The sequence below is a fragment of the Homo sapiens genome, chromosome 12 (genome assembly GCF_000001405.40).
Source record: "Homo sapiens chromosome 12, GRCh38.p14 Primary Assembly".
NCBI classification, from domain to species: Eukaryota; Metazoa; Chordata; class Mammalia; order Primates; family Hominidae; genus Homo; species Homo sapiens.
The window spans coordinates 71,912,729-71,928,051 of record NC_000012.12 but is presented as its reverse complement, the minus strand read 5'-3'; the positions used below and the strand labels follow the sequence as shown (position 1 = coordinate 71,928,051).

At 34.7% G+C, this 15,323-nt stretch overlaps 1 protein-coding gene across 42 annotated transcripts in view; it reads right to left on the bottom strand.

Annotated features, from left to right (window-relative positions):
• Positions 1-3,738: 3,738 nt before the first annotated feature.
• The window catches only part of TBC1D15 (TBC1 domain family member 15), an 84,555-nt gene continuing 72,970 nt past the window's right edge, over positions 3,739-15,323 (bottom strand). For 33 of the 42 annotated variants that reach the window (NR_169783.1, NR_169765.1, NR_169767.1 and 30 more), the window contains 6 exons: positions 14,126-14,226; positions 10,255-10,354; positions 9,504-9,601; positions 7,205-7,321; positions 6,598-6,684; positions 3,739-5,069 (listed from right to left, as the gene is read on the bottom strand). Coding sequence is in view for 16 of the 42 variants with exons in the window: in XM_011538679.1 (XP_011536981.1) it covers positions 4,848-5,069; positions 6,598-6,684; positions 7,205-7,321; positions 9,504-9,601; positions 10,255-10,354; positions 14,126-14,226 (725 nt within the window). In the remaining 26 variants the exon portion in view is untranslated. Of the gene's footprint in view, positions 5,070-6,597; positions 6,685-7,204; positions 7,340-9,503; positions 9,602-10,254; positions 10,355-14,125; positions 14,227-14,919; positions 14,973-15,323 lie in introns of all 42 variants that reach the window. The other 9 variants (NR_169782.1, NM_001385850.1, NM_001385851.1 and 6 more) reach the window with 5 other exon arrangements.

Here is a 15,323-nt window from a genome sequence, read left to right as displayed (position 1 = left end):
CAAAGCCATAGAAAAATAGCTCTATTTCTATTTTTAAAGCAGTCTACCAACCTACTGTACTGGGTCCTGTGCTTCCAATCAGACTAGTGTGATATTGGACACATTATTGACTGTCACAGTAAAAGTCCATCTTAGAAGTTAATAGGTCTTTTTAATTTAAAAAGCTAAGCTAAACTGACTGCTGCTCATTGATCACAGCAAAGCTTACTGGAATTTCTTTTCGTTCTGTCATCTTTTGCAGAGAGAGGGGGTATGTGAGGGGCAATATACTATCTAGATCATTTGAGAGGGAGAGGCATACTTAATAGTTCACTTCCTATTATTCTAACATCCTGATTTCATCAATAGGGATTGAATCACATTAGGCAAAAATGATAGGATTCTTGATTCCTGATCGTTCTTAGAAGACTTTTGTTTACAATCACTTCTTTTAAACATTGATTTCATAAACAGTGTAATTTCCCAGGTGGCTGAAAGAGGTGCTGTGGATATTAAAAAAGAGTGTGGATGTCCAGTACAACCGCAGGCACTCCCCCAACCTTTCTATCTAAGGGTGACACACCATTTTTCCCTGTGTCAAGATGCATGGCCTGAAAATTAGAAGCCTGCATACAACAATGGGGAAAGCATCTGTAATTAGAAAACTCCTCAAAAATATACAACTTAAATTCCCCATATTGTAAGATCCCAAGGGAAGAACAGGCCAAATATGGTTGCATTATTCAAACGGCAGTGTATATACATATGTCCAAGTACAGATACTTAGTATCAGGTAATGAGATTAGGTACTGATGGAAGCCTTTCAGATTCCAATAATTTAATCTTGTTTCGTGCTCAGAAGTGACACAGAAAGCTTAATTTTCTTCAGAAAGTAAGAAATGAGAAATCTACATATAACAGGCTGAGCTGTCATCACTTTTTACTAAAAATGGCGACCGGAACTAGAGCAAATATCTTAGAAAATCAAGGGACAAGCTTTTAAAAATTAAGGGAATTGTCCACTTGGCCATAAATCAAAAGATTAACATATGAAATACAATATATAATGGTAGTGCTCTAACTTCAGAGGGGCTCAAGAAATCACCTGGATGCTTGTTAAAATGCAGATTCCTGATCTGACTTCCAAAGACTGATTCTGTAAGCCTGAAGTAGCACCTAGACATGTATCTTAATAATACAGACCAAGGATCTGGAAACAAGCATTCTGAAGACATTTTAATTAATGGGAGCTCAGCACACAAAATCATTAGCATAAGTTAGACATTGTTACTATTCTCCTGTTAAATAACTTGTAACAATGGTTACCTACATTTGAGGAAAATAAGAGAACACTTTCAGAAACTATGTGACCTGCCTCCAAAAACATTCAGGTACATCCACAAGACTTTGCATACAGTGAGGTTCCTGGATCCTCTGAAAACCCCAAGTAAAGACGCCCAAGCTAAAATGATGTTCTCCTGGTACATATCTGCACGTAAGTCAGTTGAAGCTGTAGGTTCCTCAATAAACATTTAGGGTTACTTTATACAAACTGTCTTTAGTAATGGGCATGCTTATGTGAATTTCACATAAGAATTCTTCGGCATCTATAAAATTTCTTGGCAATGTCAAGTTCCTAAGAATCACTCACTATCTGTCCCAAAAGGCTGTTTTCTTACTGCTCAAAAAAAAATTTAGTCTCTAATCACTAAGACTAAAGTTCCTTATAAACAGATGAAGAATCTTAGACCCATGAAATTATTAAAATGGGGAGGTTCTTAAATGCAAAAGATTCCCATAGGTTCATGCCAGAATTGAAAATACATATGCTTTTCAACTTATATTGAGGTTATGTTCCAATAAACACATCATAAATTGAAGACATCATTAATCAAAAATGCTTTTAATACATCTAACCTACCAAACATAGTTTAGCCTACCCTAACTTAAACATGCTCAGAACACTACATTAGTTTACATTTGGGCAAAATCATCTAACACAAAGCCTATTTTATAATAAAGTGTTAAATATCTCATGTGATTTATAGAATATTGTAGTAAAAGTGAAAAATGGCTGTATGGGTACTCAAAGTATGGTTTCTATTCAGTGCACTGCTTTAAAGCCATCATAAATTTAGTTGAAAGTTTGTAAGTCAAATCATCATGTTAGATTGTCTGTACTTTTAAGTTAATGTTAGAAACTGAATTTTAACAACTTTACCACATAATACAGCACACAATATTTTACATGTTATAAGGGTGTGGACAGAGCATCTTGTGAAAACAAATAAACCTTTAAAAAACACTAGTAAATTTACCTGAACTGTGTATTTTAGCAATCTTAATGGCACAGAGTATTTGCTAACTGGACTCTGTGGACTGATTTAAGACTTCTCCTGGAACTATACTATACTATCACTTCCATATCAAAAATATGCTAGATAGAAATGCAGTTTAGTAAAAATTGTTTTAACAAGTAATTTTGTAATAAAACTTGACAGAAGTTCAACTTACTAAATGTATTGATAAAAAAAAAATCTGAAGTGGGTATCACATTACGCAGCAGGAACAAACTCCCAAAAAGTCACTGTCCAGGAAGAACAAGGAGGACATCAAGATGTTCTAAGCAATTTCCTGAATAGCAGGAAATGAAAGGCTGGAGATGCTGAGTTTTTGATCAGTTTATGTTCTTTTTCTGAATAGGCTTACTCATTATTAACTGATGAAAGATAACACACATAATATTAAAAACTAAACTCTAACGGTTCTACTGTCGTGATTGTCAGTTAATGCTCAACCAGGAAAAAAGTTCGTTTTGTTCCCTAACTTTCTTGGGGGAAAAAAGTCAATCTCTAGGACCATTTTAGAACTGCACAACTTTTTTCTCTATACTATTAGCATCAGTTGTAATAAGCTGCTTTACTGAGTCAAATAACTGTATCTTTCAAGGCAACACTGTGCCCATTTCCATGCTAATGAAAATTTTTTTTCAGTTATAAAAAGGATGGTTTTCATTTCCATAACTTATTCAGATTATCATTTTTTTTTTTTTTTTTTTGAGACGGAGTCTCGCTCTGTCGCCCAGGCTGGAGTGCAGTGGCGGGATCTCGGCTCACTGCAAGCTCCGCCTCCCGGGTTCACGCCATTCTCCTGCCTCAGCCTCCCAAGTAGCTGGGACTACAGGCGCCCGCCACTACGCCCGGCTAATTTTTTGTATTTTTAGTAGAGACGGGGTTTCACCGTTTTAGCCGGGATGGTCTCGATCTCCTGACCTCGTGATCCGCCCGCCTCGGCCTCCCAAAGTGCTGGGATTACAGGCGTGAGCCACCGCGCCCGGCCAGATTATCATTTTAATCATATAAAAATAAGAGATGAATTGAGGTCCATCTTGGATGTTTTTTCTTCTATTAAAGAATTAGCCGGGCACAGTGGCTCACACCTGTAATCTCAGCACTTTGGGAGGCTGAAGCGAGTGGATCACTTGAGGTCAAGAGTTCGAGACCAGCCTGGCCAACATGGTGAAACCCCATCTCTACTCAAAATACAAAAATTAGTCAGGCGCGATGGCACAAGCCTGTAGTCCCAGCTGCTCGGGAGGCTGAGACAGGAGAATCGCTTGAACCCAGAAGGCGGAGGCTGCAGTGAGCCAGGACTGCGCCACTGCACTCCAGCCTGGGCAACAGAGCAAGACTCTTTCTCAAGAAAAAAAATTTTAAAAAAGCAGACTATTTCTAAGTATAATTTAACTAAAAACACTACTTCAACTTCAGATTTATTTTAATGATATATACAGGAGTTAACAACTTACAATTAAAACAAAATCAGTTATGTTAATTCCACATAACTTAAAATCATGCAATACTGCATGGTAAAAACAACAGCTTTGTTCATACACAAAAATTATTATTTTGAAACTCATGAGACCATCTAGAAATTTTTCAAATAAACTTTTTGCAAGAGTATTTTATAAAAATTTAAACACCTGATTAATCAGTTAATGCATTATTAGGAAAGATAATAAACATTATTAGTAAAGTGAGGTTACAAGCAATTAATTTTAAAATTACACCAGGTACAGGGTTGAACATAATCTCATGAAATAAATGTTTAAGAAAATAGTTTTGAAAAAGATCTCATACTGAAGCCATGTTAAATTTTGATAAACCAGGTTATATAAATCAAGTCGTTTATTCAGTTAATGAAAATATGCCTAACCTTTCTTATACTCATAAATAAGTACTTATATATAATCTTTATATACAAGTGAAGAAAAGTTCAATGTAAAAAATATACTGCCAATCCACTTATTATGGTTGAAATATTTATCTACACATTAGACTGCATTGATGAAAATGTCCAATTTAAATCACATTTGACCAGCATAAATATTTAAGCTGAGTACTGTCGTAAACAATAGAGAAAAAAATCCTTTTATTTTTATTTTTTATTTCATTACTGGGTAACAATCTACTTCTCAGCTTAGAATGCTATAGAAAGCCTCCACATTTAATTTAATCAAATCTGAAACCCAATAAGCTTAAACAAAGTGAATGTTTTTCAAAGTGCATAATTTCCAACTCATCCACTTGCAATATTTATCCAATTCCAGTTCATCAGCAAGAAAATAAAATGTACTTGGCTATAAAAATACTGAGGAATGTTATCGAAAAGGAAAGGCTATTTGGTAGAAGTAACTACAAAAATAATTAGTTTAAATCTTTGTAAAGCTTTAATGTAAGAACATCAGTACACTTTCTTTACATAAACCTTAAAGCATGATCAATACCAAGATTTCAAATTTTCAACTTTCAAGTACTTGAAAAAGGGTTGCAACAAAGTGTCTCTTCCCAAAAAAGCAAGAACAGTGATCATGCAGGTGTTAATCTGCAGACATCTGAGGACACTGGTATCTGTGTTGGGCTGTCATTTCTGGCTCCACTGGCAGAGAGTGTAGGCAAGGCATTACTTTGAAATGCAGATGTAGGACAAGGAGTCATGACAACATTTTCGTCTTCACCAACGTCTGAATCTGGTGTTGTAACTTCACTGCCTTGAAGCCCAAGGATCTCACAGACTGCTTGTGGCAATTCCTGGATATGAAAAATCAAACTCAAAACCATATTTCACTACAGAGGAAAAATAACCACAAAGTAACACTTCTGTTTAAGACTACATTGATTCCAGAATCTGAGCATTTGTCCTAACAGTGTAAATGTCATGTACCCTTCTCACAACATTTTTCTCAGCTCCAAATGAAATGCTAACCACCTTTCGCCCTAAGTGGTTCTTGGATATCTTCCAAATTAGTCACTCTCCATCCCACCTCCACATTCCCACAAACATAGCATGTCCTAATATTTGGCATTTATCTCTTTCTACTTTTTGTAATAATATCTTTCTTAGATCATCTGTCTCTCTCAGTAAACAAAGTTCTTCAAGGCAAGAAGTATCTCATTGACATGCTTTGGAAGAGAACAGGTATCAAATAAATGTTTGTAGAACTGAACCAAGTAACAGTTTGGATCAATGAACAAATGATACAAGGACCAAGCAAGAATTTTCATAAAAATGCAAAGTCATAAGGGGTGCAGCAAACCAATGTGGCACATGTATACCTATGTAACAAACCTGCATGTTGTGCACATGTACCCTAGAACTTGAAGTATCAAAAAAAAAAAATGCAGTCATGGCCGGGCGTGATGGGTCACGCCTGTAATCCCAGCACTTTGTGAGGCCGAGGTGGGTGGATCACCTGAAGTCAGGAATTCTAGACCAACCTGGCCAACATGGTGAAACCTCGTCTCTACTAAAAATACAAAAATTAGCCAGGCATGGTAGCAGGCACCTGTAATCCTAGCTACTCGGGAAGCTGAGGCAGGAGAATCGACTGAACTCAGGAGGAGAAGGTTGCAGTGAGCCGAGGTCACGCCACTGCATTCCAGCCTGGACAACAGAACAAGACTCTGTCTCAAAAAAAAAGCAAAGTCATGAGGTGGGCACAGTGGTGTGCATGCACTGGTAATCCCAGCTACTCAGGAAACTAAGGCAGGAGGATCACTTGAGCCCAGGAGTTCAAGGCCAGCTTGGGCAACTTAGCAAGGCCCTTTCTCTTAATAGAAAGAAAAAGCTAAAACACATCAAAAGTATACTGCTTTGGTTCAAATTCAGATAATACATCAAATTTGCCTTGTTTTAAAATAATTAATAACTTGACTAATATAAGTGAGTGACACAGGCTAAATAATATTGATTTAATTATTTCTGATTAGCATTCATTTTTGTTTAGAGATTCTGCATATTTAATATGACAGCCTATTCTGCATTCATGAGCTCAACTGGGTAATATATCATTGCTGAAATTCTACAGCCTCTTTGTTATAGAAATATTTTCATTACTTTTACCATTTTGCCTTATTATTAGCTGTTTCCTATCTGCCATAGTCAACTGTTTTCAATTAAGTGCTGTAAATCTAGAACAGCAAACAAAAAGCCAGCCAATACTTTGTGCCTGCCCTCAGCTTACTAAAGTTGCTATTTTATTTCCAAGAAGAAAAATCTTTCTTGATCTCAACCCACCAAAAACAAACAAATCTTGCAATTACTTGAAACACTGTATACCTTGCATTTTACCATCTGTAGAGAAATTGCTTCTGCCTTGCAGAGTATATCTTCCACATCAATTTTCATGGACAATTCATTGATATGCTAAAAAGTATCAACAAAATAAAATGATATCGAAACTGAATACACTATTATATTCTATTATATAAACAATTTATTACCAGTTATATTTCACTGCAGATAAAATCCTTAAAATAAAAACATTCATATACTACAAATACGTAAGAAATTCAATATATCTTTCTTTAGATTATTTCAAGTTTTAAAGCTAAAGACTAGCTAATAAGCTTATGGAACATTAAATCCAGCAGCTATTCCAAGTCTGATATCTCAAAGTTATAATCAAAAGACAATTAATTTTTGAAAAACTAAACTACATAAAAGAGCACTTGTTGAATTTCCTTTTCTTCCTAATTAGCCAGGTAAAAATAACTGGCCAATATGTATTTGAACTGTCATTCTCAGATAGTCATTCCTAGCACTGTTATTGACACAATTTAAGTTACTCAAGAGATTTAATAATGTTCCAAGGAAACGTTCTGTATATCAGGACCACCAAATAGAAAAGCCAGAACACTAAAATCTGAATTAAAGGAATAACTACCTTAAGTATTTCATTGAAGCCATAATGCTTTTCCATTATTTGCTGCTTTTCTGATTCCAGAATAGCACAACAGAGAAGAAGATGGAAATTTGTACATGGTAGTTCGGTCCACATTACCTATAGAAGGCAGAAGAACTATTTTGCAAATTGTATCAATTCTAAAACATTTTCCTCACAGATACAATTCTGAACACTGAATGACTTCTATGCAAAGTAGATGTTGCCTGTTTAGGGTAGCCCAAGGTTTTTCTAGCTAGGAAATGAGGGGAAGGAGAGTCTTACCTTCAGCTACAAAGTAACTATCATCGAGTTTATATGAATATGATATATTCTAAATGTGGCTCTTTAAGGTAACTATAGTAAGTAAATTACTGAGCCTAACCAGTATGATAAATGTTATTAATGCAGGAGCTACAGACACAAGGTTAAGGTGTAAGGGTTAGATGTATTTTCAATATTTTTCTGAAGTATCAGTTTCTCACTTCGATCTGAGAAAAGACTAAAGCTAAGTCCTGGAAATAAAAAAAGGTTCAGTTACACAGTACATGGAATCAGAAACACCCAGAGGTAGCTCTACATTCTAAATACGTAAAACCCTTGTATCACATTTTATCCCTGATTGTGACAATAACTGAATTAACTGCCCCAAATTTATAACCAAACATAGAAAACGCTTGATCAACAGCTCAGCTGTTCCTAAATACAGATAATATCCTCGAATTTAGGGTCTTAATTTCCCCCTGCTTCATGTACCTAATAATATATTTTCCACAAAGATAAAAACACCCACACAAACCATACCATGAGATCATACCCGAAATGTGTTTACTTCTTTCAAAAGGAGTAAATCAAGTTGAATAATTTTCAAACTAAACCCAATTGTTGAAAGTTTAATTACAATGCAATTAACCTCAAAGGTTTCATTAAAAGTTTGAATTTATTTAGTAAACACAGATTGAGGAGTTATTCTAGCTATGTGGTAATAATATTCTTAATTCATCCTTTAAAACCCATTTATGCCTGAGGATGCAATTTTTTGAATTTTTCAATCAGACCTTGGTGATGACCTTGAGCAGTAGGATATAAACAACTCCCACATGCTTAGCGTTCCAATAATGGAACACTAGGCATAAATACATTAACCCATTTTTAACCCCCAAATTAAGACACTAATTTAACAAAACTGATAAACATTTAAGTACGATTCCAGATAGAGACCATGTGGGTTTTACTTCTAATCTGAGAACAGAGGAAGTGAGCATAAAGTAATCCACTTTTAACTTGTAATCAGCACAATGCCTTGTCTAATGGTAGCACAGCCATCAATAGTATAGGAATCCATTTCCAGCTGTAAAAACCTCAGAGACCACTAGAGTTCCACTGTATAAAGTTGGATTTACAATCAAAATGGATTATCTCCCAATTCTTTCCTTGGAAGAATTTCTGTTATCCTAAGGTATGATCAATCATTATACCAGCATTCTATGAACAAGCACACTGGGCTGGACACAGTGGCATACACCTGTAGACCTGTAGTCCCAGCTACTTATAAAGCTGAGGCAAGAGGATTACTTGAGTCCAGGAGTTCGAGATCAGTCTAGGTAACATAGCAAGACCCCTTCTCTTTAAAAAAAAAAAAAAAAAAAGCACACTGATTTATTATTAGCAAATACTTTAGAAAATGTGAAATGATTTGGTTTTTCATTAAAGGTTGCCATGGAAAAATAAACACTGGGGATTACACATGGGGGGATGGTGTAAGGGAAACATGGGATGTAAAATTACCTATTGGGTACTATGCTCACTACCTGGGTGATGGAATCATTCACACACCAAACCTCAGCAACATGCAATTTACCTATGTAACAAACCTGCACATGTACTCCCTGAACCTAAAATAAAAGTTGAAAAAATAAAGAGTTGCCTTGGGTAAAAAATGGAACAAAAGGAGTACACCAAAAACATAAGAATATCCTCTATAACAGATGTGGCAAAGCCTCACATAAAGTCAAGTCTCACAAAGGAAGAACAAAGGCAGCAAATGGTCTAGAGCACTTGTTCTGGGATACCTCTTGGCCCCAAATCTCACAGAGATTGTGATTTGAAGAACGAAGCTCCAAAAGACCAAATATTCAGTGTGAAACTAATTTTTAAGAAGAGGCTACCAGTTCATCAGAATTTTGGAACATACTTGCCTTAGATATTTCAGTAAGGCTATCATAATTCATTTACACTCTACAGAATAAATTGTTTCTTTTCATAATAAATATCACATTTGCATAATAATTTAAGGACTTACCTCCCATAATCGAAGAATATCTAGAAAACTAAATTCCCTTTTGAATCTGATTAAAAGCCACCTGAAGCAAAAATAAAGGTATCCAGAGTCCTGAGATTCTATGCAGAAGAAAAAAACACACATATGACTTACTCTTATGCTAATTATGTCAGAATACAGTTACTTTTCTCTAACTTTCCTATGCATCTTAGGCAATTCAAGGCCCTATACATTTGTCTTCTACGTTAAGGAATCATTTCAAACTTGAAGGCTGACTTCTTTTTAAAAACTAACAAATAATACATTTTACGAATCAAGTTTAAGGCAGAATTATACAAAGAGAGTTTGGTTCCACATTTTTATGGAACCGAAGAAAGTGCAATAGAGTATATATGTCTTTAAGTTCTTTTTTATTGAGACAGTGTCTTGCTATGTCACCCAGGTCGGAGTGCAGTGGAGTGATCCCAGTTCACTGTAGCCTCAACCTCCTCGGCTCAAGTAATCCTCCCACCTCAGCCTCTTGAGTGGCTGGGACTACAGGCATGCATCACCACAGCCAGCATTTTTTTTTCCTTGTAGAGATGGGGTCTCACTGTGCTAGCCAGGCTAGTCTCAAACTCCTGGGTGCAAGTAATCCTCCCTCCTTGGCTTCCAAAGTGCTGGGATTATAGGCATGAGCCACTGCACCTGGCTTCTTTAAAGAGTTCTTTACATTTTTTTCTATGCATTACTCTACAATTTGCTGGGTATAGTTCTGATTCACTAAACTTACCTAAGTAACTGCAAAATCCACTGTCTAACAATCGAAGTAAGGTACTCAGCTGAATTAGCTGGGTCTTCATGCCTTGCATTTGTTCTTCAAAATTCTGATGCTTTAAAAGGAAATAATTGTTACAAGTAATATTTAATAAATATTTTATAGTACATAATGACTGATAACTAAAACATGATGTCTAAGGACAAATGCTGAACTTATACCACACTGGTAATCTTAAAAAATGCGTAACTAACCAAAAATCTAACGTAACACTAAAAGGGAGGGTAAAGAGAAAGAATCCTTGCTCTCAAAACTAAGGATTATTTTTTCCTCTATTCATTTGACTTAGATAAAGAAGAATGCAGACATAGCAACTGCAGACTGACTATTTATTTCTTACACAGCATAAAAGACTTGGTGAAAGAAACACACATTTGGGAAATAAATATTTATCAAATTCTTTCCATTGTTAAATATTCCTTCAAATTATACATAATAAAATTAATTTTAGTTTTAGTATGTATTTCATTTTAAAGAATTACTTTACATTGGAGAATCTGTAAAGCCAAAACCATTTTCAGGACAATACTAAAACATTATCTGGATTTCATACTTAAATTCTTTCACAAGTGCAAAGGCTGTATGATGTGTGATACTCCAAAAGACTGAACACAGAAGCAAATATGAAAATTCAGCTGTCTTCTATTAAACCAGACATTTTTAAAAATGAAAAATTTAAAACAATCTCTTGTGTCGGTAAATTTTTCATTAGGAAAGGTTACTTTTCATTAAAAAAAAGTGATCTATGTTAAGGTAGAATGTGTTGTTATTTAATGAATTAATAAATAAATGAATACAAGTTTCTCAGTATTAATTTTTCACATAAACATCAACAGATATAACCCACATAAACAAAAACTCTTTCAGGTCTTCAATAATATTGGAGAGTGTGAAGGGGCCCTGAGGTCACAAAGTTTGGGAACTGCTGGGGTTCATATGCTTTAAAGAAACTTCATAGTTGAGTAGACTCCCTACCAACACCTGAGTCAAGGGGCCAGAAGGCACCAAAACTGATGCTCTGAAAGGCTTCTTAAATGATTTGGATCCCTTTAACTCATATGTCCCGATCCCTCTGTGGTAACCTACCGCCCTAACCCTAGTGAAAGCCTTAGAAAAACATTTCCTCCTTCACACTTACTTTTTCACTTTTACAGTACAATAGTGCTTTATTAGAACTATCATATTAGAAACAATTCATTCTTAAAAAAAATTTAAGTCTATTAATTCTCAATAAGCTGTTTCTCTTTAATGAATTTTAAAAACCAGTTTATTAATAGACTAACTCAAGGCTTTAGGATATAGTTCCTCCACATTTACCAGAGAGATCTATAGAGAAGGGGCAGAATCAACTCTGATTAACAGGATCATTTTTGCTGTGACACAGTCAAAGACTAGAGCTGATCTGGGAATACCAACATGGCATAGACATTTGCTACCCACTCTGCTGTAAAAAAGAAACATGTCCATAATGACAGACACCATATTCGAAAAAGTGGTTACTCCTGGAGAAGGGAGAGTGGGATCAACAATGGATATACAAAGGGCTTCAAATGTGTCTGTAAATAAATGTGTCTGTATGGGGCAGGGGAGGGGGAGATGGAGAGGAGAAAGGAATTAAAACTATATGGCAAAATGGATGATGGGTATAACAAAGTTCATCAGATCACTTGTACTTTGTATTTCCATGATAATAGACAAAGTCTATGCCTAGACCTACATTAGATGCAAGTAAACATCAACAAAAGTAAATTTACAGACGTTAGGTTCAGCCACCACAAAGGTAGTACAAACTTACATGAAGTAAAGCTATAAAACAGAAACACAGAATCAAGAAACAGCAGCACAGATTTAGGGACATCAAACAAGGGCAATGCAGTGAAAAACAATCATACAGGTTATTTTGATTGCCATATATTTCCCTCTCATTCAAATATTATGAAAGAAAAGATGTTAGCAGACAACATAATCATAAGATATCTTTTTTAGAATAAAGACTAGAAAAATCCCCAGAACATCCTTAATGGAAAAGGCAAACACAGAGAGCATTTACTGTGAAAATGACAGAACAAAGAAACTGAACCTTCATACACAAAAAATGACGGACTGTAAAGTGTTTATTACACATGTTCAGAAGGTAGTCTTTACATATGAGACCTATATACACACGTCTGTATGCATGTGTGTATGTGGCATTATATGTCAATATATATTTACATGCCAATATTGGATTAGTTTTATTGAAAACTTATTGCATGATACTAAATGCAGTATGTTCATCTTAGTTGTGTTTTTTTTTTTTTTTTTAGAATATCTACTATAGCAATTTAAACTAATCACTGGGGAAAGATTCACATGTTTATTCTACAAAAACCCGTTGAACAACCTCATGTCAGGCATTAGGAAAATTCTGGTATGCTACCAGTGAAACAAGATATAATCCCTTTTATCAAGGAACATACTAGCTCTGGTGAAAAGAGGATAAACAACAAAAACACAAGGAAGGCAGACAACAGTTTTTATGTAATTAGTATCAGCTGTACAGACCTTTATAACAAATGCCTCAGGTTTCTAGAGCACTTGGGAGTAAATGGAACTAAGAAGGTAGACAAATCAATCAAAAAAGGAAGGAAGACAAACTATGACATTACCAAATTACTGCATTGATAATCCTTCCAAATAGTCAAAAAAAATTAATTTATGGCAAAAAACCAATTTGAATATTCATGAATTTAATGTAAAAGAACATTTTAAATCTATCAAATCTTACCAAGTATACATTTAGAAAAAAACTGAAAGAAGCAAAAACAAGTTGAATCTATGGACAAGAGATTTGGGGAAATAGCCACAAGCAGGGAAAATTTGAAGGAGAAAGAAAAATAGGCAAGCAAAAGGGAAAGAATAGAAGTAAAGAAAAAAGGAGAAGGGTACCACTTCCAAATTTCACATTTGTATCCCAGAAACTCTGAGTTAAACCCTGTATTACAGGAAAATATTTCAGATGGTTAGATTCAAAATGTTTATCCCTTGCAAGCAAGCCAGCCATTTCAATATCCAACATAAAGGCCCAGCATCCAGTATGTTAGTGTTATTTTGAAAAAACACAGCAACCTCTATGTAGTCAGGTCTTTGGACTTCATCTGCCTTTATCTAGTCTCACCCCTTCTGCTTTTATTTTTCTGAGATTGCTTGAAGAGACTTTTCTTTTATTTTCCTGTCAATATTCTCTGCACTATTATCCTAGAACTCTGTCTCAAAGATTTAACAATGATAATAGATAAAATGTTCTTTGTACTAACATGTATATATAGACAGTTCAATTCTAATAATCACATACTTCTGGGAAAATAACAATGAATTCCTAAGAAAGTGTCAGAGTTACAAATAGTTCAAACACATCTGGAGAAAAATCAGTTACTATAATGACAAAATTCAAAATCTTCACAAAAGGTAAGGATATTACTTGGCATGACTAAGCTTTATCTCTGAAACAGATGATATTAAAGTTCAACTATTCCACAAAATTGAATTCATCTATTTTATCAATATTCTGTAATGACACATGGCTCTTTAGTAGAAAATAAGCATTTACTGATATTAAATCCTGATTATTCCTATACTACAGGCACAAACTATTTCCTGTATTAAAAATACCACCAGTATTTCTAAGCCCTTGAAAGGCTACTAAAAAGAAAAAGTAACAAAAGGCATGAGGTAATTTTTTTAAGTTCCATCATAGTTGGCTAAATATAAAAATCAACCTTATACTATAAAATTATACAACTAAAATTTTAAAAATCAGTTTAATGGAAGGAATCTCTGTTCTTACCATTTGGTCCATGTAAGAGGCAAAGCACCAAAAGGCATCCACTTCATTTTCCATCACATATAAAAGAGGGGAAAGTAAATCACTCATTCCTTGAACATATCCTAAAAAGAAAAGAAAAAATCATCTCTGAAAACCCAAGTTTTATGTAACCTTCTGCAAGTTGTGCATATCACCACCATTTCGCTTAAAATTGTATCTTTCTCCTTTGCATTTAGAAATTGGTAGACACTGATGTTCACCAAGAAAAGAATATAAATGAAGAGGAGGAACTCTAGTCATAAGTAAGAAAGATGAGTTGTTTTAGATTGAGATGTCAAACAATATATAGCTTCCAGTACGTGTCTCAGTGCAGATACACTATCAAGAGTGGGTAATATTTTTAAAAATAATGTGCAAGAGCATCATGAGAAAGAAGAGGGGTGAAGAGATAATCCAGAGGAACATCAAATGTAAGAGTATACACTCAAAGACAGGTTTAAGAAAGACCAGTCAGAGAAGTAAAGAAAAAAATCAAGCGAGAATAATGTTGCAAAAATTAACAAGAAAGTTGCAAGCCCAGAGTGGTTAGCAATGCCAAACTACCATGAGTAAGCCACATAAAACAAGAACTTTGGGTTCAACTGCTTTAACAATCAGACCTTTAGATTCACATAACAGGAGTTACAAAATTAAGAGCCTCTTTTAAATAGTCATATCTACGTCCTTCTTTCTTTTTTTGTTACTCTCTACACCCAACCAATGCCAGCAACTGGGCTTAACCCAATCAATATTTTGTACCTAAAGTGACCACTTACCTACATGTCTCTTGATATTATTACAATTTCTCAATGGTGACAGTAATAGAGCCCTTGATTAAAAGAAAAACTAGAAAATTAAGGAGTCAGATCCCTCACTTAAAAATAAGAAAAAGTGTTAGTTTTACTTTTTCACCTGAACATGTCAAACTTCTTTTTTACTTCCTCTTATAAAACCCTCAATTATCCTTGTTTTACAATTTTCAAGACTTGAAAAATTTTCAGACTTAAGAGGTTCTTGAACCAATGAAGGGACACGAACTTATACTAAGCCTTTTTACTTAAACGTTATCATTCAACTTCGGTAACTTTTGTGTATTTATTAAAATCATGTAGAAATTTCTTTATTGGTAGCTTGGGAAGTCTGGAAAATAGTCTTTCATTTGCGAATCCAAAGTTTACAT